This window comes from Homo sapiens, chromosome 4, assembly GCF_000001405.40.
Source record: "Homo sapiens chromosome 4, GRCh38.p14 Primary Assembly".
Taxonomy (NCBI): Eukaryota; Metazoa; Chordata; class Mammalia; order Primates; family Hominidae; genus Homo; species Homo sapiens.
This window is the reverse complement of record NC_000004.12, coordinates 67510623-67535535: the sequence shown is the minus strand read 5'-3', so window position 1 is coordinate 67535535 and position 24913 is coordinate 67510623. Positions and strand designations below refer to the sequence as shown.

The following is a 24913-nucleotide window of genomic DNA, read 5'->3' as shown; positions in this document are numbered from 1 at the left end:
TTTTCTATGACAAACGTCTAAGTATAAATGTCTTAGTATGCATAGACACATTAATTTATCATTTTCAGCTTTGCTGTCCCTGCTCTTTTTTTTTTCTTCAATCTACCCTTAGACCTATCACATAGGTTTTGTCATGTACTCTCTCTGTATCACAGAGAGTCCCTTTGCTTTTCTCCTGAATTGCAACTCTTATTTCTTGGATCTGAAATCTTCCTTTTTTCTTGGCCTCTCCTTTTTTGGTGGGACTCATCCTTTAGTAGCTTTCTGAGAATTTGAGACCTTAATTGTTTAAAAATACCATGGTTTTACCTTCATGATGGGTAATTTGGGTGAGTACAGAATTCTAGATTAGAAATTATTTTCCTTTAATTAAAAAATAATATATATTTTTTCATATCAAGCCTCCCTTTTAGTCAGGTGTATTTTCCCTTAGACTTACAAATGTTGCTTTCTTTTATTTTAGCTTCTCCTGTTGAGAATACTGTTGTGATTCCATGATCCTTTGTGACTATTTTTTTCCTCTTTGCAGGCTTTTAGGATCATGTCATCTGTCTTTAGTGATCTAAATTTTTATTATATTCCTTGACATTAGGTTCATCTAACCCTTTTCATAAATATTTCTTCAGTTTCTGTTTTCTGCAAGTACCTTTTTTACTTACTTTGCTCATTACCTCGCCTTTTTCATATGTCCAGTGATCCTTAGCTGTCTCCTCTTGTTTGAAAGTGGGAAACTAAAACACATTGGAAGCTCTATATGCCTAGTAAAATTTGTAGACTGGTGGATGTCACTGTGGTGTAGTTTGGTCCATTTCATCATTGGTATCCTGGTGTTAATATCTGTAGATTTCTTTTCTCTTGGCCTAGTAAGTATTTCTGACAAAGAAATCTTTCCCGCTTGGCGGTTCAAGTCTAACTGCGATTGTTTTCAATTTCAGTCAGATGTGGCAAAGGGGAAAGTGCAGTTTAAATGCTCCTACTTAATATCTCTGGTTTTCATGTATTGCCCTTAACTTCACCTGTGTCTTATGCCACTAATATCACAGTCTCTCTGATTAAGAAACTCAAGAGAGTAAATAATCTTCTGATAGGTTTGGGAGGGGCTCTTCGGTTTTACTACCTTCTTTTTTTTGAGAAAAAGCACTCCTGGGCTGGAGTGCAGTGGCACGATTTCGGCTCACTGCAATCTCTGCCTCCCGGGTTCAAGCAATTCTCCTGTCTCAGCCTCTCGAGCAGCTGGGACTACAGGTGCCTGCCACCATTCCTGGTTAATTTTTGTATTTTTAGTAGAGACAAGGTTTCACCATATTGATCAGGCTGGTCTTGAACTCCTGACCTCAGGTGATCCACCCGCCTCAGCCTCCCAAAGTATGGGGATTACAGGTGTGAGCCACTGCGCCCAGCCAGTTTAACTACTTGCTATACACAATTTTTTTTCTGCGACAAAAGACACATTCAACTATACACGCTTTTAACACCCTCTGTTTGCATGCCTCTTCTTTTTTTTGAGACAGGGTCTTGCTCTGTTGCTGGAGTGCAGTGGCATGCTCATAGCCCACTGCAACCTCAAACCTCTGGGCTCAAGTGATCCTCCTGCCTCAGCCTCCTGAGTAGGTAGGAACACAAGCATGCACCACCACTCTTGGCTAATTTTTTATTTTTACACAGAGATGTGGTCTTGCTAAGTTTCCCAGGCTGATCTTGAATTCTTGACCTCAAGTGATACTCCTGCCTTGGCCTCCCAAAGTGCTGGGATTACAGGTGTGAGCCACTGCATCTGGCCTGCCCCTTTTTTTTAGTGGTGTCTTGCAATTCTACTAATCTTTATAGGTTTCTCCATAAACAGTAATCTGTCTGCTTCTGGGTTTTCTCCATTGCTAGCATGTTTCCATTCTCTCTGGGTTGCTGAATTACCAGTAGTTTGCTTTTCAACCTAAAAATGTTTGCTGACATGTCTCATCTACTCCTTTGTCTCTCTCTTCATCCTTCTGAGTTTGTTTTTAAAAATCTTTAATGAGATGTTAAGAGAGAGCAGAGATAAAATGAAAGCCTGCCTCTGTCTTTTTATGGCATTGAATTCCATACTGTGGTCACTCAACAGCAGTGTAGTGTATTAGTCCATTTTCACACTGCTGATAAAAACATTCCTAAGACTGGGAAGAAAAGGAGGTTTAATTTGACTTACAGTTCCACATGGCTTGGAGGCCTCATAATCATGGCATAGGGCGAAAGGCACTTCTTCCATGGTGGTGGCAAGAGAAAAATGAGGAAGAAGCAAAAGTGGTAACCCCTGATAAACCCATGAGATCTTGTGAGACTTATTCACTATCACGAGAATAGCATGGGAAAGACTGACCCTGATGATTCAATTGTCTCCCCCTGGGCGCCTTCCACAACACAGGGAAATTCTGGGAGATACAATTCAAATTGAGATTTGGTTGGGGACACAGGCAAACCATGTAAGTCTGTCATTTATTTATTTCTCTACTGTGCTGATACTGTGTCCACACTTCTGCTACCACTTGTGACAGAGGTCCCACTACCATCCACATTTGGTGCTTCACTAAAAGGACTCGGGAGATTTGACATATAGTTGAACTCATGACTGATACTTATTTTTATTTGCTTTTTTAAAAATTATTATTTTACTTTAAATTTTAGGGTACATGTGCACAACGTGCAGGTTTGTTACGTATGTATACATGTGCCATGTTGGTGTGCTGCACCCGTTAACTCGTCATTTACATTAGGTGTATCTCCTAATGCTATCCTTCCCCCCTCCCCCTACCCCCCAGCAGGCCCTGGTGTGTGATGTTCCCCACCCTGTGACCATGTGTTCTCATTGTTCAATTCCCATCTATGAGTGAGAACATGCGATGTTTGGTTTTCTGTCCTCGCAATAGTTTGCTCAGAATGATGGTTTCCAGCTTCATCCATGTCCCTATAAAGGACATGAACTCATCCTTTTTTATGGCTGCATAGTATTCCATGGTGTATATGTGCCACATTTTCTTAATCCACTCTATCATTGATGGACATTTGGGTTGGTTCGAAGTCTTTGCTATTGTGAATAGTGCTGCAATAAACATACGTGTGCATGTGTCTTTATAGCAGCATGATTTGTAATCCCTTGGATGTATGCCCAGTAATGGGATGGCTGGGTCAAATGGTATTTCTAGTTCTAGATCCCTGAGCAATTGCCACACTGTCTTCCACAATGGTTGAACTAGTTTACAGTCCCACCAACAGTGTAAAAGTGTTCCTATTTCTCCACATCCTCTCCAGCACCTGTTGTTTCCTGACTTTTTAATGATTGCCATTCTAACTATTGTGAAATAGTGTCTCATTATGGTTTTGATTTGCATTTCTCTGATGGCCAGTGCTGATGAGCATTTTTTCATGTGTCCGTTGGCTGCATAGATGTCTTCTTTTGAGAAGTGTCTGTTCATATCCTTTGCCCACTTTTTGATGGGGCTGTTTGATTTTTTTCTTGTAAATTTATTTAAGTTCTTTGTAGATTCTGGATATTAGCCCTTTGTCAGATGGGTAGATTGTAAAAATTTTCTTCCATTCTGTAGGTTGCCTGTTCACTCTGATGGTAGTTTATTTTGCTGTGCAAAAGCTCTTTAGTTTAATTAGATCCCATTTGTCAATTTTCACTTTTGTTGCCATTGCTTTTGGTGTTTTTCATGACTGATACTTATTATAGTCATTCAGCCAGGATACACAGCTGGGTCAGTAAGGGAAAAATGCGCATTAGCAGAGTCTGGAGGAATCCATATATAGGCTTCCTGTGTTCCTCAAGGGGCCATATAGAATGTACTCATTCCCTTCAGCAGTGAAATGCAGTAACGTGTGTACATTTTTTCTCCTCAGAGAAGCCTTTTGAAACTCAGCCTGTTTTCACTGGGGGTTGGTCCCATAGGCATCCCCTGCCTACCAAAATTTTACGCACTCCCAGAAGGAAAGAAAGCAGATGTTCACCACAGATCACAGTGTTTATTTATACAAACAGTCTAGGCAGGCTGGCGCAGCAGGTGCAACCTTCTCTGTTGGTAATGGAGGGAACATTCTAAAAGTTAAGTCTCCAGATGCCAACCAAGGGGTAGCCCTGTAAGCTGGTCCTTTAAATATATCAGGCCTCCTATGTTAACTCTTTCCTGCAGAGTGAATCTCAATACTACAGTGTTTTACGTGTCTATTTTGAACTTTACATAGATAAGATTGTTATGTACTTCTGCAGGTTGCTTTTTTTTCTGGTTAAAATAATAATTTATATTATTGTAGTTTATTTGTTCCATTGTTACGTATGTAATATGGTATATCTATACTATAATTTATTTATTTAATAAGTTTATTCAGTCTTCTGTCCACATAGTTGCTGTTTAGAGTAATATTGTTTCTGTGATAGGTTGTATGAAATTTCAGCTTTACTGAATAATGCCAGATTGTTTTCCAAAGTAGCTATTACTTTAGAAATAAAATAAAAAGTAGTATAAAACTCTTAACAGCTGGTTTGTTGTTTTAGAATACTTGTTTTTCCCCCCATTTAAAAAACAAATATATTTCATTGAATTGGTAAGTTAATAAAATAGTTCTAATGTTGTATTTCTTCTGTGCTCAGTGCCAGAAATCACATCCAAAGTCAGTTCCAGTTTCTTCAAAGAAGAAAGAAGCCTCTCTACAGTTTGTTGTAGAACCAAGTGAAGCCACAAACAGATCAGGTTGGTGCCATCTCCATGGGCATTATTTGCTTGGATATATTTAAAAAATGAGAAACGCTAATGGTGCATGTGTTGCTTTGAGTATGAAGGTCAGGGTCAGCCTAGACAGAATTGTGAATTGTGAAATGGATGAATTTGTTTTTGATTTCCTTACAACTCCATGGTCAGTGCTCTTTTTCTCTCTTCTTCTCCATTTCCTTTAGTCAGTGATACATGCTACTACTTTTTAAAGTTTTCTTTCTTTTTATTTTTCAGATTAAAAGAGTGTTACTCCATTGAGTTAATAAAGGTTTAAAATAAGAATTTAGTCATTACTCCTATCATTCTGCTGAGGTAGCCTTTAAATAGTTCTGTACCTTAATTGGTGCCCATAAATGAAAAAAAAAAAAGCATGTGTGTTTGTATGTGTCTGTGCCTGTACCTGCTTTCAGAAAAGGCTATTATAATTTCCTTTTACACCAATAGTGTAAGAGTACCTTTTACCTGATAGTCTATTTACTATTCTACGTTCTTGCCCATTCATTGATATTAAGCAATCTCCTTTTTACTTTAGTGTCCATTTCCATGATTGCCAGAGTTTGAGCACCTTTATGTTTATTGGCTGTTGGATTTTAATTGTTAAATGTGTGACTTTTATAGCTTTAAGTTTGTTTTAGTTAAAAGTTCTGTCTTATCCCAACTTAGATTTTTCATCTGAAAACCTTTTTTTAAAAAATAAAATTAAGTCTTTAACCATCTGGAATGTGTTTCGGTATGTAACATGACATAATCTTCTAAGTTTGTTTTCTTCCAGTTGGTCAGTTGTGTCAGATCTGTTTATTAAATTAAAAAAAAATCTGTTCTCTTCTGAATGTACTACTTTTATTATATATTAAATCTCACATAACATTCAACATACTTTTGAATTTTGATATATTTGTTTTTTCCTCTGTCAACACAATACTCTTGTTACTAATAGTAGCTTCATAGTATGTCCTGATATAAATACCTTCACTATTCCACTGCCATTCTGCAGCCTTTTTTCTTTCTATGAGCTTTTAGTTTTATCCAATTCCAAATAAACTTTTGGAATTCTAACTAGAATTGCATTTAATTTATGTAGTAATTTCGTGAGAATTCACATTTTTTATGTTATTTAGGTTTTTTACAAAATAAGTTATGTTTCTTTCTTATAAAAATGTTAATCTGGAGCCAGGAGTGGTTGCTCATGCCTGTAATCCCAGCACTTTGGGAGGCTGAGGCAGGTGGATCAGTTGAGGTCAGGAGTTTGAGACCAGCATGGCCAACATGGTAAAACTCCATCTCTACTAAAAATACCAAAATTTGCCAGGCGTGGTGGCAAGTACCTGTTATCCCAGGTACTCGGGAGGCTGAGTCAGGAGAATCGCTTGAGCCTAGGAGCTGGAGGTTGCAGTGAGCCGAAGATTGCGCCACTGCACTCCAGCCTGGGCGACAGAGTGAGACCCCGTCTCCAAAAATAAATAAATAAATAAATAAATCTGAAGGACACTGTCAAGAGTGTGAAAGGGCAACCAGACTAGGCGAAAATATTTGCAAATAATTTACCTGAAAAGGATGATAGAGATTTATAATCAGAATATATAAAGAACTTCTACAGCTCAACAACAGAAAAACCAAACAACCCAAATAAAAGATGAGCAAAGGACTTTACATTCTGTGTATAGACTTTTCTCCAAAGAAGGTATGCAATTGGCCAATAAATATATGAAAGGATGCTTGAAATCTTCAGTCATTAGAGAATGCAAATCAAGACCCTAGGGAGATACCACTTTACACTCACTAGGTTAGCTATTATTTAAAACAAAAAAAGGAAAATAAGTGTTGAAGATACGGATAAATTAAAACCCTCATGCATCACTGGTGGGAATGTAAAATGGTGCAGCCACCATAGAAAACAATTTGATAGTTGCTCAAAAAGTTAAACATAGAACTACCATATGACCCAATACTTCCCTCCTAGGTATATACCCAAAAGAATTGAAAGCAGGGATGGAAGCAGACATTTGTATACTAATATTCGTAGCAGTATTATTCACAATACTCAAAAGGTATAAACAAGCCAAGTGTCCGTCAACAGATGAATGGATAAACAGCATGTGATTTATACACAGAATGTAATATTAGTCAGTCATTAAAAACAAAGTTCTGCTATATAACATAGCATAGAAGAATCTTGAACACATTAAAACATGCAAACTGAAATAAACCAGACAAAAAAGGACAAAAATTTTGTAGTTCTACTTACATGAGGTATTTATAATAGGTAAATTTAGAGATAGGAAGCAGAATAGAAGTTGCAGGGGATTGTGGTAGGGGGTAATGGTGATTTAATGTTTGATGTGTACAGAATTTGTTTGAAATGATGAAAAAGTTCTAGAAATGATGATGGTTGCACAGTGTTGTGAATGTACTTAATGCCATTAAATTGTACACTCATAAATGGTTAATATTGTAAATTTCATGTTTTATCATAAAAAATATTTTAATAAAGCCTGTCTCCTGGCTCCCCATTCTCCCCTCCCTCCTAGTATTGGGTCTTTGACTTTCTTGTTAAGGTTAATCCTAACTGTACTATAATTTTTGTACTATTCTGAACATTTTTTTAAATTATGAGGCTAATTTTTATATCAAAATTTTAATTCAGCACTTACCAAGGTTTTTAAAAAAATTAATTCTAGACCTTTAAAAATTTGAATCTTTTAGTTTTCTTTAAGCTATATAACCATGTCATCAGCTAAAGAGAGGTTTTATTTGTTATGTTTAATCTGATTATTTCAGTCTTCTTGCCTTTGCTAGAATCTCTGAGTCAGTGTTGTTTAATAATGATGATATTAGGTATCCATGTCTGTTCTATGATTTTAACTGAAATTAGTACTGTGCCACTTAAAATAATAATTGTGGGTAGTTTGGGGTAAATTTAGTTTATGTCTTTAATTTCCTTTTCTTACTATTATTAGCTAGTACTTCAGTATTATGTTAAATAACAGTGATGGGTCCAAGCACTGTGGCGTAGGCCTATAGTTCCAGCACTTTGGGAGTCTGAGATTGGAGAATCTCTTGAGGCCAGATGTTTGAGACCAGCCTAGGCAACGTAGTGAGAACTTGTCTCTACAAAAAACACAAAAATTTAGCTTGTGCAGTGGCATGTGCCTATAGTCCTGCCTACTTGGGAGACTGAGGTGGGAGAGTCACTTGAGCCCAAAAGGTTGAGGCTGCAATGAACTGTGCTAGTGCCACCCCACTCCAGCCTGGGTACAGAGTCAGACCCTGTCTCAAAAAAAAAAAAAAAAAAAAAAAAAAGGATGGGGTGAAAATTCTAGCGTTGTTCCTGCTCTTAGAAAACATTTGATCTTTCACATTAAGATGTTAGCTATAAGTTTTTAATAGATGTTTTTTATAGGGTTGGGAAATTTTCTCCTGCCAGTATGCTGAGAATTTTTAATCATAGGTAATGTGGATTTTGTCATGCATTTTTTGCATAAATCCATATGATCATATGATTTTTCTTCTCTGAACTGTTGATATGGTGGCTTATACATATTGATTTTTGAATGTTTAACCAGCCTTGCGTAAAATTTCCATGTGGTCATGGTGTATTACTGATTTGAGCTCTTTTTCCCTTTTCAAATGTATTCATTTGGCATAAATTTCCCCCTCAGCACTGTTGTAGCTGTATTCCACAGGTTTTGTATCTCATGTTTTGTGTTCATTTCACTTATTTTGATGTATTTTTAAATATCTTTTCAGAGTTTAGCCTATTGGTTATTTAGAAGTGTGTTAATTTTCCAGTGTTTGGTAATTTCATATTATCTTTTCCTTATTAATTTCTGATCTTGATTCCTTTATGACATAGTATGCACTGTGCAATTTCAGTTCTACATTTATGAAGATTTGTTTTATGACCCAAGATATTGCATGTCTTTATGAATGGGCATTTAAAAAAAATGTTTTCTGTTGTTGGGTGTAGTTATCTATAAATGTCAATTATTGTGCACTATTGCTATTTTTTATACATTGTTGGATGTGACTTGGTAAAATTTTGAGGATTTTTGTATTTAAGTAAGGAGAGATTGGTTTATAGTTTTTTTAATGCTGTGTTTGTATGGTTTTGTTATCAAGGTAATATTTGCCTTATTAAATGAGTTGGGAATTATTCCCTTTTCTAATTTCTGGAAGGAACTGTGTAAAATTGGTGTTAATCCTTTAACTATTTGGTGTAACAGTCTCCGGTGAAATCATCTGGTCCAGGAGATTTTTTTTTCAAGAACTTTTAAATAGCAATATTAATTCTTTAATAGTTATAGGACTATTTTGATTATCAATTTCATTGTGACTGAATTTTGGTAGTTTGTGTTTTCTGAGGTATCGGTCCATTTTTTCTAATCATCTGTCAAGTTTGTAAGCATAAAGTTGTTCATAGCACTACCCTATTTTTTTTTTGAGTTTTTTTAAATATTTTTTTTACTTTAAGTTCTGGGATACATGTGCTGAACATGCAGGTTTGTTACATAGGTACACCTGTGCCATAGTGGTTTGCTGCACCTATCAACCCGTCATCTTGGTTTTAAGCCCCACATGAGTTAGGTGTTTGTCCTAATGCTCTCCCTTCCCTTTCCTCCCTCCCCCCACCACAGGCCCTGGTGTGTGATGTTTCCCTCCCTGTGTCCATATGTTCTCATTGTTCTACTCCCACTTATGAGTGAGAACATGCAGTGTTTGGTTTTCTGTTTTAGTTTGTTGAGGTTGATGGTTTCCAGCTTCATCCATGTCCCTGCAAAGGACATGAACTCATTTCTTTTTTATGGCTGCTTAGTATTCTGTGGTGTATATCTGTCACATTTTCTTTATCCAGTCTATCATTGATGGGCATTTGGGTTGGTTCCAAGTCTTTGCTATTGTAAATAGTGCTGCAGTAAACACAGATGTGCATGTGTCTTTATAGCAGAATGATTTATAATCCTTTGGGTACATACCCAGTGATGGGATTGCTGGGTTGAATGGTATTTCTGGTTCTAGATCCTTGAGGCATTGCCACACTGTCTTCCACAATGGTTGAACTAATTTACACTCCTACCAACAGTGTAAAAGTCTTCCTGTTTCTCCACATCCTTGCCAGCATCTGTTGTTTCTTGTCTTTTTAATGATCACTATTCTAACTGGTGTGAGATGGTATCTCATTGTGGTTTTGATTTGCATTCCTCTAATGACCAGTGATGATGAGCTTTTTTTTAATTATGTTTGTTGGCTGTGTAAATGTCTTCTTCTGAGAAGTGTCTGTTCATATCATTTGCCCACTTTTTGATGGGATTGTTTGTTTTTGTTTTTCTTGTAAATTTGTTTAAGTTTCTTGTAGATTCTGGATATTAGACCTTTGTCAGATGGAGAGGTTGTAAAAATATTCTCCCATTCTGTAGGTTGCCTGTTCACTCTTTTGCTGAGCAGAAGCTCTTTCATTTAATTAGATCCCATTTGTCAGTTTTGGCTTTTGTTGCAATTGCTTTTGGTGTTTTAATCATGAAGTCTTTGCCCATGCTTATGTCCTGAATGGTATTGCCTAGGTTTTCTTCTAGGGTTTTTATGATGTTAGGTCTTAAATTTAAGTCTTTAATGCATCTTGAGTTAATTTTTGTATAAGGTGTAAGGAAGGGGTCCAGTTTCAGTTTTCTGCATATGGCTAGCCAGTTTTCCCAGCACCATTTGTTAAACAGAGAATCCTTTCCTCATTGCTTGTTTTTGTCAGGTTTGTCGAAGAGCAAACGGTTGTAGATGTGTGGTGTTATTTCTGAGGCCTCTGTTCTGTTCCATTGGTCTATATATCTGTTTTGGTACCAGTACCAAGCTGTTTTGGTTACTGTAGCCTTATAGTATAGTTTGAAGCCAGGTAGTGTGATGCCTTCCACTTTGTTCTTTTTGCTTAGGATTGTCTTGGCTATATGGGCTCTTTGGTTCTATATGAAATTTAAAGTAGTTTTTTCTAGTTCTGTGAAGAAAGTCAATAGTAGCATGATGGGAGTAGCATTGAATTTATAAATTACTTTGCACAGTGTGGCCATTTTCACTATATTGATTCTTCATATCCATGAGCATGGAATTTTTTTCTCTTTGTGTCCTCTCTCATTTCCTTGAGCAGTGGTTAGTAGTTCTCCTTCAAGAGGTCCCTCACGTCCCTTGTAAGTTGTATTCCTAGGTATTTTATTTTCTCTGTAGCAGTTGTGAATGGGAGTTCATTCATGTTTTGGCTCTCTGCTTGTCTGTTATTGGTGTATAGGAATGCTTGTGATTTTTGCCATTAATTTTGTATCCTGAGACTTTGCTGAGGTTACTTATGAGCTTAAGGAGTTTTGGGACTGAAACGATGGGGTTTTCTAAGTATACAATCACGTCATCTGCAAACAGAGACAGTTTGACTTCCTCTCTTCTCTCTTCCTGTTTGAATACACTTTATTTCTTTCTCTTGCCTGATTGCCATGGCCAGAACTTCCAATACTGTGTTGAATAGGAGTGGTGAGAGAGGGCATCCTTGTCTCGTGCCAGTTTTCAAACAGAAGCATTACCCTATTTTTGGTGGCTGCAAAATCTATTGTGACATCATCCCCTATTTTATTCCACATATTGATGGTTGGTGTCTTCTTATAGTTGTCAATTTTGTTAGATAGAGGTTTATCATTTTGTAGTTTTTTTTCCTGCAATAGTTTTCTGTATTTTTCTATTTTCAGTTTTATTGATTTCTGCTCTTTATTTTTTCCCATCCTTCTGCTTGATTGGGTTTATTTTGTTCTTTTCTTGATGGATAAATTTTATTTTCTACTTTATAATTCATTACTGTTTATTTTGTTATTCAGATTGTTGCAGATTTGGCTAATAGAAGCTCTTACTTTGGTTCCAGTGTCCCTTTGACATGGCCCATTTTTGTTGTTGTTTCTGAGCACTTTCATACCTTTTAGAGCCACAAGATGCTCTCCTGCCCCATCCCAGAATCAACCATTTCTTCATGGAATCATGATTTCTTTTACTGGGTAATGTTATTAGAAACCAAGATCTGAGTGCTAGGTGTGCTGTCACTCCTGTAGAGTTGTTGCTGCTAGACCCTTTCAACTGATAGAGCTGGGTAAATGTATGTGTGTGTACAATAACTTGTGTATCAACACATACCTATAAATATCTTTAAATGTAACTATCTGTATCTATGTTGAAGTAATCATAAGTTCATATTGATGTCTCTGACTCTAATCCATTACCACGTGGATTATTCTAGCCTCCTCCTCTTGCTTATCTGTAAACTCCCATTACATGAATGAGAAACTGGGCGTTCACCATTCAACATCCATTTACTTATCTTTTACATTTCTGTATACATGTAAAAGAGTGTCAGAATTGTTGACTCATATCCTGTGGAAAACAGTTTTATCAACTAGAGAATAGTGCTTATGTACAGTTTCTTTTGCCTTCAGTCTTACAGACGTCATTCATTTTTTGTTTTTTTGAGAGAGTCTCCCTCTGTCTCCCTGGCTGAAATGCAGTGGCGTGATCTCGGCTCACTGCAACTTCTGACTCCAGGGTTCAAGCAATTCTCCTGCCTCAGCCTCCTGAGTAGCTGGGATTACAGGCAGCAGCCACCACGCTCATCTAATTTTTTGTGTTTTTAGTAGAGACGGGGCTTCATCATGTTAGCCATGCCAGTCTTAAAGTCCTGACCTCAAGTTATCCGCCTGCCTCAGCATTCCAAAGGGCTGGGATTATAAGTGTGAGCCACCATGCCCAGCTGATTCATTCCTTTTAATTTTTTTTTTTTTGAGATGGAATTTTGCCCTTATCACCCAGGCTGGAGTGCAATGGCACAATCTTGGTGCACTGCAACCTCCGCCTCCTGAGTTCAAGTGATTCTCCTGTCTCAGCCTCCCAAGTAGCTGGGATTATAGGCACACACCACTGCGCCCACATAATTTTTGTATTTTTAGTAGAGATGGGGTTTCACCATGTTGGCCAGGCTCATCTGGAACCCCTGACCTCAGGTGATCCACCCACCTTGGCCTCCCAAAGTGCTGGGATTACAGGCATGAGCCACCACACCTGGCCTTTGATTCATTTCTGATCTTTCTTAGGTCATCACCTTTCCCCCCATCCACTTCATTGAGGTTGTTTCTACATATACATTGAATGTGGCATATGTAATACATGTGATTTCCATGATTAGGTCATAAAAGGCTATATGGCTCTGCTTGGCATGCTGGATCTCTCTCTCCTTCTCTCTCTCTCTTCCTGTCTTTCTTATTCTCTCCAGTTGCCCTTGGAACCCAGACAATATGCTGTGAAGAAGCCCAAAGTAGCCATTATGGAGAGAAAAGACTCCCAGCCTGCAGTCAAGACCAGGTGTCAAATATGTGTAAACAAGCTGTCAGATGATTCCAGGGCTCAGACTTCATGGAAGAATCCGTCCCTTCTGTGCTCTGCTGAATTGCTGACTTACTGAATCCATGAACATAACAAATAGTTGTTTTATGCAGCCAAGTTAAGAAGTTATATTATGCAGACATGGTAACTGAAACAACGAATTCCCAACTTAAATACTACTGTTAGTTATTTCTGTTGTCAGGTATTTTAATATTTTTTAACTTTACAAGACTTTTTGTTTTAGTTTGTTTATATACACACGTCACTTCCTTTGCTCTTTTTTAAAGAAGTGTATTTTAAAATATTGTATAATATAAACATAAAATTGTCCACTTTATTTCTGAGTATACAGTTCAGTAGCATTAAGTACATTCACATTGTTGTGAGGCTATCACCACCATGAATCCATAGAACTTCTTTCATTTTTCACAACTGAAACACTGTACCCATTAAACAGTATCTCTTTTTCCATTAGCCCTGGCAACCACCATTCTACTTTTTTCTGTCCATGAATTTCAGACAGAAAATTTATCTGTGACTGGCTTATTTCACTAAGCATAATGTCTTCAAGGTTCATCCATGTTGTAGTATGTGTCAGAATTTCATTCTAAGACTGGGTAATATTTCATTGTATGTGTATACCACTTTTTATCTATTAATCTGTTGATGGGCACTTGGGTTGTTTTCGCTTTTTGGCTATTGTGAGTAATGCTGCTATGAATATTAGTGTGAAAGTATCTCTTTGAGTTCCTGCTTTCAGTTTTAAGTTTTTAAGGATCCACTGTGCACTTTTCATAGTGACTGTCATTCTACATTCACACTAGCAGTGCATGCACAAAGGTTCCATTTTTTTCTACATCAACAGTTGTTATCTTTTGTTTTTATAAATAATAGTCATCCTAATGGGTGTGATGTAGTATCTCATTGTAGTTTTGATTTGTTTTACATCACTGTTATTAGGAAAATTTAAAATAATATTTAAAAATCACTACTTACTGATAATGGCTAATATCCAAAAAACTTTTTTTTAAAAAATGCTACTTTGAGAGTTTCTTTTTCATTTGTTACAAGAGGATTTGTAATTGATTATTAAAGCATTTTATGATGTTTGCTTTAAAATTTATTGTTAAATAATTTTAAAATCTGATTCATCTCATTTATGTCTATTGATCATTATTTCTTACTTTTTTTTTTTTTTGGTTTGTTTTGGTTTTGGTATGACGAGTTGTTTTGATTGTATTCCTGAGATTTGGTTACTTATGTTAGGGGATTCTTAGACTACTTAAATCTTTTGTTACAGCACATAGTTGCCCTATTTTGGTTTAATGTATAGGTTCTTTCCTGTGTTATTTATTTATTTATTTATTTATTTATTTATTTGTTTATTTTTTGAGACAGAGTCTTGCTCTGTCGCTCAGGCTGGAGGGCAGTGGTGTGATCTTAGCTCAGTGCAACCGCCGCCTCCTGGGTTCAAGTGATTCTCATGCTTCAGCCTCCCGAGTAGCTGGGATTACAGGCATGTGCCACTACGCCTGGCTAATTTTTGTATTTTTAGTAGAGATGGGGTTTCGCCATGTTGGCCAGGCTGGTCTTGAACTCCTGGCCTCCAGTGATCCACCCGTTTTGGCCTCCCAAAGTGCTGGGATTGCAGGCATGAACCACTGCGCCCAGCCCCTCTTTCCTAGTTTTATGAGTTTTATTTTCAATGATAGTTAAGTGTTCAGAGTAATAGTGGTATTTTGTTCTACTTCATTTTCTGATGCTGTTAGGATTCTAGCTCAGTTCCTGTTGGTGCTGTCTGGGGTGGGTAGAAGATGCCTTTTGATGTCCATGTTCACTTGTGTGGGGTTCTGGTTAGAAGCTGCTGGTCCTGGGTTTCCTTATATCATTGGGTGGAGGACAGGGGGTTGCTGGCCTCTCTTACGCTGTTCTTGCCTCAGATTAGACTGTCTGCTGGTGCCCTGGTTGTAAAGTAGGGACTGGGATGGCCTGGGGTGTCAATACTATCAGTGGATCAAAATGTTGCCTTGGGCTGTGAAGGTCAGGGGTTTCACTACTCTACAGCTTCATGTGGGTCATACCGCCTGCCATCTATGATTGTAGAAGCGGGACTGGCTTGGTATGAGCTCCTTTACTGCTACAGTCCCATAGCACAGCCCAGGGCTTTGTTGCTTTGCCAATGCAGGTAGTAAGGAGTGCTCCATGGCCGAGAGTGCTGAATGGGGCTTGAGTTTCCTCATTAGGTCTTCGGTGGGTTTACCTTGTTCAGAGAATGCATTTCCACCCAGCCTCCACCCTGTCTTTCACCTATTGGTGGTTACAGGTTATACTAGCAACCAGTCCAGGGGTATATGGGAGACAGACAGAAAACCTAAGGCTTGTCTGTTTCTGGTCTTGAGCTTCCTAGCTAGTCTACCTTTTTTTCTTCCAGCTTTCAGAGTCCTGTTGTTGATTGATGGATAATTTCCAGGGAAGTTAGTTGTATTTAGAGGGAGAAGCAGGGAAATGCCATCTCGTTCTGAAGGGTGAGGGTTAAGAGAATATGGATACATTCTTTTAAATTTTCTCATTATAGATAAATGTTCATATACATATATACTGTGTATGTATATATACACACATGCTTATGTTGTATCTCTCTATATCTGTTATATCTATATTCCATGTGTGTATGTGTAAATATATCATCTAGCTGCCCTAGGTCACCAATTTTTAGCCCAAAGATAGAAGAATCTTAAGTACTTACTTATTTTAATCATAGATCTTTGATTCTAATCTTAATGACTTTGAGTTTTCTGAAAACTATTTCTGATTAAATTATTGCAGAATTTTTAAAAAGCCTGCTTGATTCTCTTATTATTCTTTTAATTGACAAATATCTTTATATAATTTTCTTCTAGTTCAGGCCCATGAAGTTCATCAGAAAATTCTGGCAACTGATGTTAGTTCCAAAAATACACCTGACTCGAAAAAAATATCAAGTAGAAACATAAATGATCATCACAGTGAAGCTGATGAAGAATTTTACTTATCCGTTGGCTCACCTTCTGTTCTTTTGGATGCAAAAACATCTGTATCACAAAATGTTATTCCATCTAGTGCCCAAAAGAGAGAGACTTACACTTTTGAAAATTCAGTAAATATGCTGCCTTCAAGTACAGAGGTTTCAGTTAAAACCAAAAAAAGGTAACATTTTATTTAAATAATGTTAACGCACTTTAAAAATTTTACTTTTTGTATTAAAAAATGGTAATTCAATCTTGTTATATTATTTTACACTAAGGAAGGAGGAATATTAACATGTTATGAGAAAGTATACATTTAGCATATATTCAGTTTGTAATAATTAAGGAAGGGCTTAAAGTGTACTTCAGAGAAGTTTAGAGGTTAACTTTTCTATAGTCTGGAATAATGTGTTTTCTCTCTGATAATATTTGATTGCTTCCTAAGAGAAACAATTTGTATTTTCTCAATATTTTTTGTAATTGCAAGTGTAGATGTGTATCAGGTCACTTCAAGGGTAGCAGAGCATAAGTATTATTGAGGATGCTATGCTTTGTGGACAGCTGGTTTCTCTTTCTTGACCTTACCTTTGGCCTTTAGGAAACAAAGTGGATTCAAGGTCTTTTGCATTTGGAGATCTCTGTAATGAGTGTAATTTCTATTTAGAGTATTGTATGATTACTGGAGCCAAGGAGTTAAGTATATTCTAAGACTTTGATATTCAAAGTTTGGTCTGTCACAGTGCTCTAAGATTGCCCTGAGAACCATTGCCTAGCTATACATTTCATTGATGTATACTTTAGCCATTATTTTCTCTTTCATGTTTTTCTATTGATAAATACAAAAGTTAATTTTCCTGAGCAGTTTATCTTATGTATTTGGAATGCACAAATCAGCATTTATGTCTTAAATAAATGCCTAGTACAGAATTTTAAATTGGTCTGTATTGTCTCTGTAAAGGAGTTCAGGAAGACTTATAACTCAAGAAACGTTACGGGAGCATTCAGCTTACCCTCCTTTTAACCTTTTAGGTTAAACTTTGATGATAAAGTTATGTTAAAGAAAATAGAAATAGATAATAAAGTATCAGATGAAGAGGATAAAACATCGGAAGGACAAGAAAGAAAACCATCAGGATCATCTCAGAATAGAATACGAGATTCAGAATATGAAATTCAACGACAAGCTAAAAAAAGTTTTTCAACATTGTTTTTAGAAACAGTAAAACGAAAAAGTGAATCCAGGTGAGTTATTAAGAAACTGCCCTTTGAGACATTTTTCTTTTATATTCTATGAACCATATATAAGGATTCCTAATGCTATTTAACTTAGAAATAAGTAATTTAATTAACAAAAATTTTAATTGAAATTTTTTCTGACCTGTAAGGAGAGATGGTTTTTTACCAGTCAGTGAGTCACTCCCAAAGCCATTTTTTAATAGATACTAAATTAGACTTGAAAGAAAACAAGTTTATTCAGTTTTCATTGCCTTCTGGTTTGTCTGTGTGATATCAAAGACTGAAGTCAATGCAGTATTTATGTATGTATGTATGTATTTATTTTGAGACAGGGTCTCGCTCTGTCTTCCAGGCTGGAGTGCAGTGACGCAATCTCGGCTCATTGCAACCTCTCCCTCCTGGGTTCAAGAGATTCTCCTGCTCAGCCTCCCGAGTAGCTGGGATCACAGGCACCTGCCACCACGCCTGTCTAATATTTGTATTTTTAGTAGAGATGGGATATCCCCATGTTGGTCAGGCTGGTCTCGAACTCCTGACCTCAGGTGATCCATCTGCCTCGGCCTCCCAAAGTGCTGGGATTACAAGCTTGAGCCACCGCACCCGGCCGACAATGCAGTATTTAGAAATCGTTATGTTAGGCTGCCCTTATGTCACTATCATAGGTATCAGAGTGCTAGTGAATATACTAGGAAGTTTTTATTGCTGGGCGCGGTGGCTCATGTCTGTAATGCTAGCACTTTGATAGGCCGAGGCGGGTGGATCACTTGAGATCAGAGGTTCAAGACCAGCCTGACCAACATGGTGAAACCCCATCTCTACTAAAAATACAAAAATTAGTCGGGCTTGGTGGCACATGCCTGTAATCCCAGCTATTCGGGAGGCTGAGGTAAGAGAAACACTTGAACCTGGGAGGTGGAGGTTGCAGTGAGTCGAGACGGTGCCACTGCACTCTAGCCTAGGTGACAGAGTGAGACTCAGTCTCAAAAATAAAAAGGAAGTTTTTATAAAAACATGTTAAATGAATGAATGAAATTCCCCTTTTGTTCAGTCTCTGCTTCCTGTAGTTGATTAATTATTTTTATGTGTATATTTTAAACCTCATATGGATATTGTCACCACCATCTGAAACAAATGCGTTATACTTGTGGGCTAATTATATAATGTCTGAGAAATTATTTTTTAATGTTCTTTTTGATACTCTAGTGAGTAAAGTTCATCTTATGTTTAATTGTTGTAGTCAAATATAACTATTCATTATTCCCAGTGCTTTCTAGCATCATTGCTTCCACTTATGCTCTTCCTTTTGATTGTCTTTCTTGCATTTCCTTGTGACCAAATCTTAGAAATCCTCCAAGATCTAGCCTAAATGCTACAAAGCGTTTCATAGTTTTTGTAGCTAATTAGAAGCCATCTTTCCCTATTGTAAACTTTCATAGTGTCAAGATTGTTTCCTAAGGATATCATTTCTGTTTAACATCCATTCATTGTAGTATTTGTATTGACTTTGTTCTTTATTAGTTTTTATAGAGTTTTCTAATTATATAAGTTTGTGAAACTCTACCATTAGAGAGTATATTTTTTAGAGTATTTGCTATTTTACATTATAAGATTTGTCAGGAGTTTGCGATTAGAGGAATAGAGAAGGCATTTTCATTTCTGATTCCTTGTGTATGTTCTAATTAAAAGAGAAAAACATAATCTAATTTTTGCATTCTGTCTTTGTTTCTGTTATGGCTAAACATAGCTAACTAAGCCTTCTTATCCTAGTGAAAAAGTGGAAACGAGTGCGTATGCCAGCTTTGGAGTTTGGATGTTTACCTTGTTTTTTATTTTGTGTATCTCACTGCAATATGTGGTGTGCTTAAAGCTATTAAAACAATCAGGGAAATGTAAAATTAGTCAGTCTATCAGATTACTGTCCTTGGAATAATTCCTCCCTTCTCTAGGAAAGTTTCCTGACTAATTGGAGGAGGTACTGTGTAATCTCAATGCACTAGTCTTAATTTATTCAACACCTCATTAAATGCATGAATCTCTTTGTATGTTCTTAACATGTACATGCTTTTATGAAAATTTAAGAATTAATGTTGATGTTATATTATAAGCCATAAGATTGTAGTTGAAATTGTCTGTCTTACTCTTTAGCCTTTTACAACACTGGGCATGGGAAATAACAATAATATTCATGATATAGGCTTTCTGCCTTTTAGTAAAATACATAAAGTTTGGGCTAGGACTATGGAGAAAGGTCTAGAGTTGGGAAACATTGTTTGACTTCATTATTTAATAACATTCTGTAGCATTGTATGCTTTGTGATAAGACTTGCCTTTTATTTTTCCTGTTTCTGTGGCACTAGATTTCTTTTGTGCTTATGCTACCTTTCTAGATACACTCCATTTATTTCTATACCATGATTATAATATGAAAATATATGTGAAATACCCAAACTTGGAATGCATTTTTACACACATGCTGTCATAAGTTGCTACACACTTAGCGGCTTAAAACAACATTTATTATTTTATAGTTCTGTAGGTCTACAATTTACAGTCCTATAGTAATATTAGTAATTTTTACATTCATTCAACCGTCTGTGTATTTGGTGTTGCTATGTATGAAGAACTGTGGGATGTAAAAAAAGATAGGAAGAAATTGTCCCCAATCTCTCTCTCTCTCTCTTTTTTTTTTTCTGTCTGAGATGGAGTTTTGCTCAGTCACCCAGGCTGGAGTGCAGTGGTGCAATCTCGGCTCACTGCAACCTCTGCCTCCTGGGTTCAAGTGATTCTTCCGCCTCAGCCTCCCAAGTAGCTGGGATTACAGGCACCCGCCATCATGCCTGGCTAATTTTTGTATTTTTAGTAGAGACGGGGTTTCACCATGTTGGCCAGGCTGGTCTTGAACTCCTGACCTCAAGTGATCCACCTGCCTCAGCCTCCCAAAGTGCTGGGATTACAGGCGTGAGCCACCACATCCGGCCTCCTCAACTTTTTATAATTTAGTAGTAGTCCATTCAAATATTAGACTTGGAGTGTTCTCAGAAATAATCTTGTTGACTTATTTTGAATGTGAAGAAATTCAGACCCCAAAAGTTATATATACAAATATATAATTTAATATAAGATTATATATAATAGTGGCATTCATTTTGGACTGTGAGTCAATGTATCTGAGTTATAATTATATCTCTCTGGGCTTCAGTTTTAGTATATATAATGGGTGGGTGGGTGGGATCAAATTTGTTGATGTCTAGATTTCTAGCTCTAAATTTTTGTGATGTCATTACTATTATAAATAAGGGTGAACAGACATAGAAATGTGAAAGGAGGGAAAGATTTGTAAGATTAAGGGAAAATTGAGGAGATATATAAACAGTTTAAAAGAAATTTAGATTTTATTTCCTAGATTATTTTCTTTACTAAACAAATATAAAAGCTTTATTTTTTTGAACTGTTAAAAGTATCACCCTGTTTCAGTCCCATTGTTAGGCATGCGGCAACTGCTCCACCTCATTCGTGTCCTCCCGATGATACGAAGTTGATAGAGGATGAATTTATAATTGATGAGTCGGATCAAAGTTTTGCCAGTAGATCTTGGATTACAATACCAAGAAAGGCAGGGTCTCTGAAACAACGCACAATATCCCCGGCTGAGAGCACTGCACTCCTTCAAGGTAGAAAGTCAAGAGAAAAGCATCATAATATATTACCTAAGACTTTGGCAAATGACAAACATTCCCATAAACCTCACCCAGTAGAGACATCTCAGCCCTCTGATAAAACAGTACTGGATACAAGTTATGCTTTGATAGGTGAAACAGTAAATAATTATAGATCTACAAAATATGAAATGTATTCCAAGAATGCAGAAAAACCATCTAGAAGCAAAAGGACTATAAAACAAAAACAGAGAAGAAAATTCATGGCTAAACCAGCTGAAGAACAGCTTGATGTGGGACAGTCTAAAGATGAAAACATACATACATCACATATTACCCAAGACGAATTTCAAAGAAATTCAGACAGAAATATGGAAGAGCATGAAGAGATGGGAAATGATTGTGTTTCCAAAAAACAGATGCCACCTGTGGGTAAGTGTTTATATTAAATATAACCATGAGCATTATTCTACCCATTTTATGTTTTTTAATATCCTAACTTAGCTTTGGCAAGTAGGCAAAGTAAACCTAAATGAACAAAGAGCCTGAAAAGCCTATAGGTTCTTTTCTAGAACCTTTTTATTTTATATATAATTTAATTCTAACTCATATAGTTTTTGTTTATCTTGTGAGATGGCAGTATATATAGAGGGCAAAGTGAAAAGAAAAGGCTAGTAAACAAGTTAGTATCGGAAGATGAATAAGACAGAATGATAAATTATTTAGAAAATAAAAATGTTAAAAAAAATCCCAGGGTACCGTGGGACTATTTTTTATAGAGATAAAAGTCCATTCTCTTCCATCATTCACTCATGTGTCTAACAGTTGTTGAATGCCATACACTGCATTAGGCACTGTAATCACAAAAATTACTAACCCATTATTTCTACTGTTAACAAGATCATTCTGGTGGGTTCTGTAGAATAATAGATAATATACATACATGCATAGGATTAAAAGGAAGGATACAAAATTTTGATTTATCCATAATTTCTTAGGAAAAGACATATGAAGGAAGTATACTTGAAAGATGCGCTCTATAATTGTAAATATTAAACATTTTCTGAGTACCTGCTATATTCTACACACTAATTTTTACATATATTCTGTATCTAGATTGGTTAGTGAATATAATGCTCATTAATTACCATATCAGTTGTATTAATTTTCTATTGCTGTCATATGACAAGTTACTACACACTTATTGGCTTAAAACAACAAACATTGATTATCTTACAGTTCTGTGGGTCAGATGTCTCACTGGGATAAAATCAAGGTATTGGTGGGGTTTTCTTTCTTTCTGGTAGCTCTGGGAGGAAGTCTGTTTCTTTGCCTTTTCCACCCTCTTGAAACTACCTATATTCCTTGACTCATGGTCCTCCTCCACCATCTGCAAAACTAGCAATACCAGCCTTCTCATGTTGTGAATTTATCTTGCCTCTTCTTCCATCATCTCATCTCTCTGACCACAGCTTTTAAAAGAAACATAATTAGATTGGGTCAACCTGGATGATCCAAGATAATGCCTCTATTTCAGAGTTTATAATTTAATCACACTTTAAATCTCCTCTTCTTAAGTTGAAAAAAATCATTATTTCAAAACAGGAAAGCAGTAATTGCCTACTTTTACTTAGGACGTTATAGGAAGGAACTGTATTTTTTTTTCAGTTTCAGAAGATACTTATTTTTTTGGCTGAGGAGTATATAAGAGTTATCAAGCAGTGTGAAAATTTGCATTTAATAGGAAGTTAGTGCTTACTTCAGCAGCACATATAATTGACAGAAAGAGAACATGTGACTTTTAAAAATGGAGATGAAAAGGCCACAGGATAAATTTAAGAAGTTCCTGTAATTGACGGTTTTTTTATAATCTTGTGGTTTTCTGAAAACTCTTTTAGTAGATTGTGAATTGGTTTTATGGTTTTCTTTATTTTAGGAAGCAAGAAAAGTAGCACTAGAAAAGATAAGGAAGAATCTAAAAAGAAGCGCTTTTCCAGTGAGTCCAAGAACAAACTTGTACCTGAAGAAGTGACTTCAACTGTCACGAAAAGTCGAAGAATTTCCAGGCGTCCATCTGATTGGTGGGTGGTAAAATCAGAGGAGAGTAAGTATTTTTATTTAAATTGTGTTTGTTCATAGACAAAATCATTCTGTAAGGGGCATTATGTTTGATTTTATATTTCTATATAGAGAATATCATGAGGACCAAGTTAAATTGGGTCATCAAAAGGAATATTAAATCAATGGTAAAGATATTCCTTGAAGCGTTAATATATACAGTATTTTAGGAATAGGGATAATAGCTGTGGGAAAACAAAACCCCAAACCAGAAATCCCTGCTTTCATGGAGCTTGCATTCTAGTTGGGAAAGGCAATATAAATAATCCAGCTATTTTAATGTCCTGGCTGTGAGGGATACAAAGATTGATAATATGAGGTTCTGCCACCAAGGAGTTTATAATCTAAAAGATTATAGTTTATTACACATAAAAAAGTAAATTACTTGTGTTGGAGGTTCCCAAGACTACCCTCAGATTTGGTAATTTGCTAGGAGGACTGGGCATATAGTTGTACTCATGGCTGTGATTCATTACAGTGAAAGGATGCAGTGCAAATTCAGTAGAAAAAAAGTGCATGGGTTAAGTCTGGAGGAAATCAGCAGAAGCTTAAAGAGTCCTTTCCCAGTGGATTCCCACAGGAGCTGCTTAATTCCTCTAGCAATGAGTTGTGACAAATAGGCAAAATGTCTATTAGGGAAGCTCACTAGAGACTTAGTGCCCAAGATCTTTCCTGGGGGTGGTCACATAGGTACTCTCTATCTAGCAAGTACTACAATTCCAGACTCCCTGAAGGAAGGCAATATTTGCCTAAACCATATTTTTTGCATAAGCAGTTTAGGCCCACAACACCACGTTTGCCAATTAGGAAATGACGGGAACAATCCTGAAATTTAAGTTTACAGGGCTAACTTTGAAAGCAGGCCCTTTTAAGGGTAGTATACTCAGACCTGCTTTGCTAACTTTTTTCTGCACAATATGAAACATTTATTGTTTTGGGAGAATTGTCCCTTTTTAAAGAAAGTGATCCTGAAAAGATTGGTGGATCATAAGGTAGCATTCACATACACAAATACTATTGACTTTGGGGCATTTAGATTAATAAGTGAATGATTAGTACAACTATGGCATTGTATATGTGAGGCCTTATTGCTATGAATTATTAAATCATTGAGATTCTTGATGGATAGCAGCAAGTATTTATTTTGTTGCAGCCTTTGGATTTTGGAGTGAGATCTGAGTTCAAAGTATCACTCTTCCACTTTGAGTAGATTGCTTTGTTTAGTTTCTCATTCTGTAACATGATTACCTCATTGAGTTTTTATAAGGTTTAAATGCAATTAGCATAGTAGGTGGCATATGTTAGTATTGAAGTGTTAAATAATACTGTTACTGCTTTGGGGAACTCACTTTTCTGCCCCAGGTTGCCTGAAATGCTAAGTACTATGTGGCAGATGAATACATAAACAGATGGGTAAATAAATTCTTACAGAACTTGGATAAATGTGCTAGATCTCTGAAACTATCAAAAAACACTTATTTAAGAGTCCTGAAATAGATGTTGGATTTTTGATCAAGCTGGGAGTCGAAAAAGTGGAGGAATCTTTATATATCATATAGTCTAAACTCTCATCTGATGGAAGAAGAAACTGAAGTCTGAAGTTAAGAAGAACAACTTGACCTGCCCCCAGCCTGCCTGTCGTACGTGTGACACTGTTGCCCTTCCATATATATGAAGAAATGTATATGGAGTACTTGCCATGGGGCAGGAATGAGGTAAAGTAGGACCAGGACTAGGGTAAGACAATGAGACACTAGGGTGAAAA

General features: G+C 36.5%; 1 protein-coding gene across 5 annotated transcripts in view, besides 2 other annotated features; it reads left to right on the top strand.

The window, feature by feature from the left end:
* The window catches only part of CENPC (centromere protein C), a 76742-nt gene that overhangs the window by 9968 nt on the left and 41861 nt on the right, over positions 1-24913 (top strand). For all 5 annotated transcript variants that reach the window (NR_155754.2, NM_001362481.2, XM_047449526.1 and 2 more), the window contains exons 5-9: positions 4622-4721; positions 16034-16319; positions 17168-17380; positions 20849-21462; positions 22967-23134. Coding sequence is in view for 4 of the 5 variants with exons in the window: in NM_001362481.2 (NP_001349410.1) it covers positions 4622-4721; positions 16034-16319; positions 17168-17380; positions 20849-21462; positions 22967-23134 (1381 nt within the window). In the remaining variant the exon portion in view is untranslated. The remainder of the gene's footprint in view (positions 1-4621; positions 4722-16033; positions 16320-17167; positions 17381-20848; positions 21463-22966; positions 23135-24913) is intronic.
* Positions 14562-15061: an enhancer, noted in NCBI's record as "H3K27ac hESC enhancer chr4:68386193-68386692 (GRCh37/hg19 assembly coordinates)". NCBI's record gives its function as "activates a minimal SCP1, AML or CMV promoter by ChIP-STARR-seq in primed H9 embryonic stem cells {active_cell/tissue: H9 hESC(primed)}" and the evidence as "EXISTENCE:reporter gene assay evidence [ECO:0000049][PMID:30033119]".
* Positions 15062-15563: an enhancer, noted in NCBI's record as "H3K27ac hESC enhancer chr4:68385691-68386192 (GRCh37/hg19 assembly coordinates)". NCBI's record gives its function as "activates a minimal SCP1, AML or CMV promoter by ChIP-STARR-seq in primed H9 embryonic stem cells {active_cell/tissue: H9 hESC(primed)}" and the evidence as "EXISTENCE:reporter gene assay evidence [ECO:0000049][PMID:30033119]".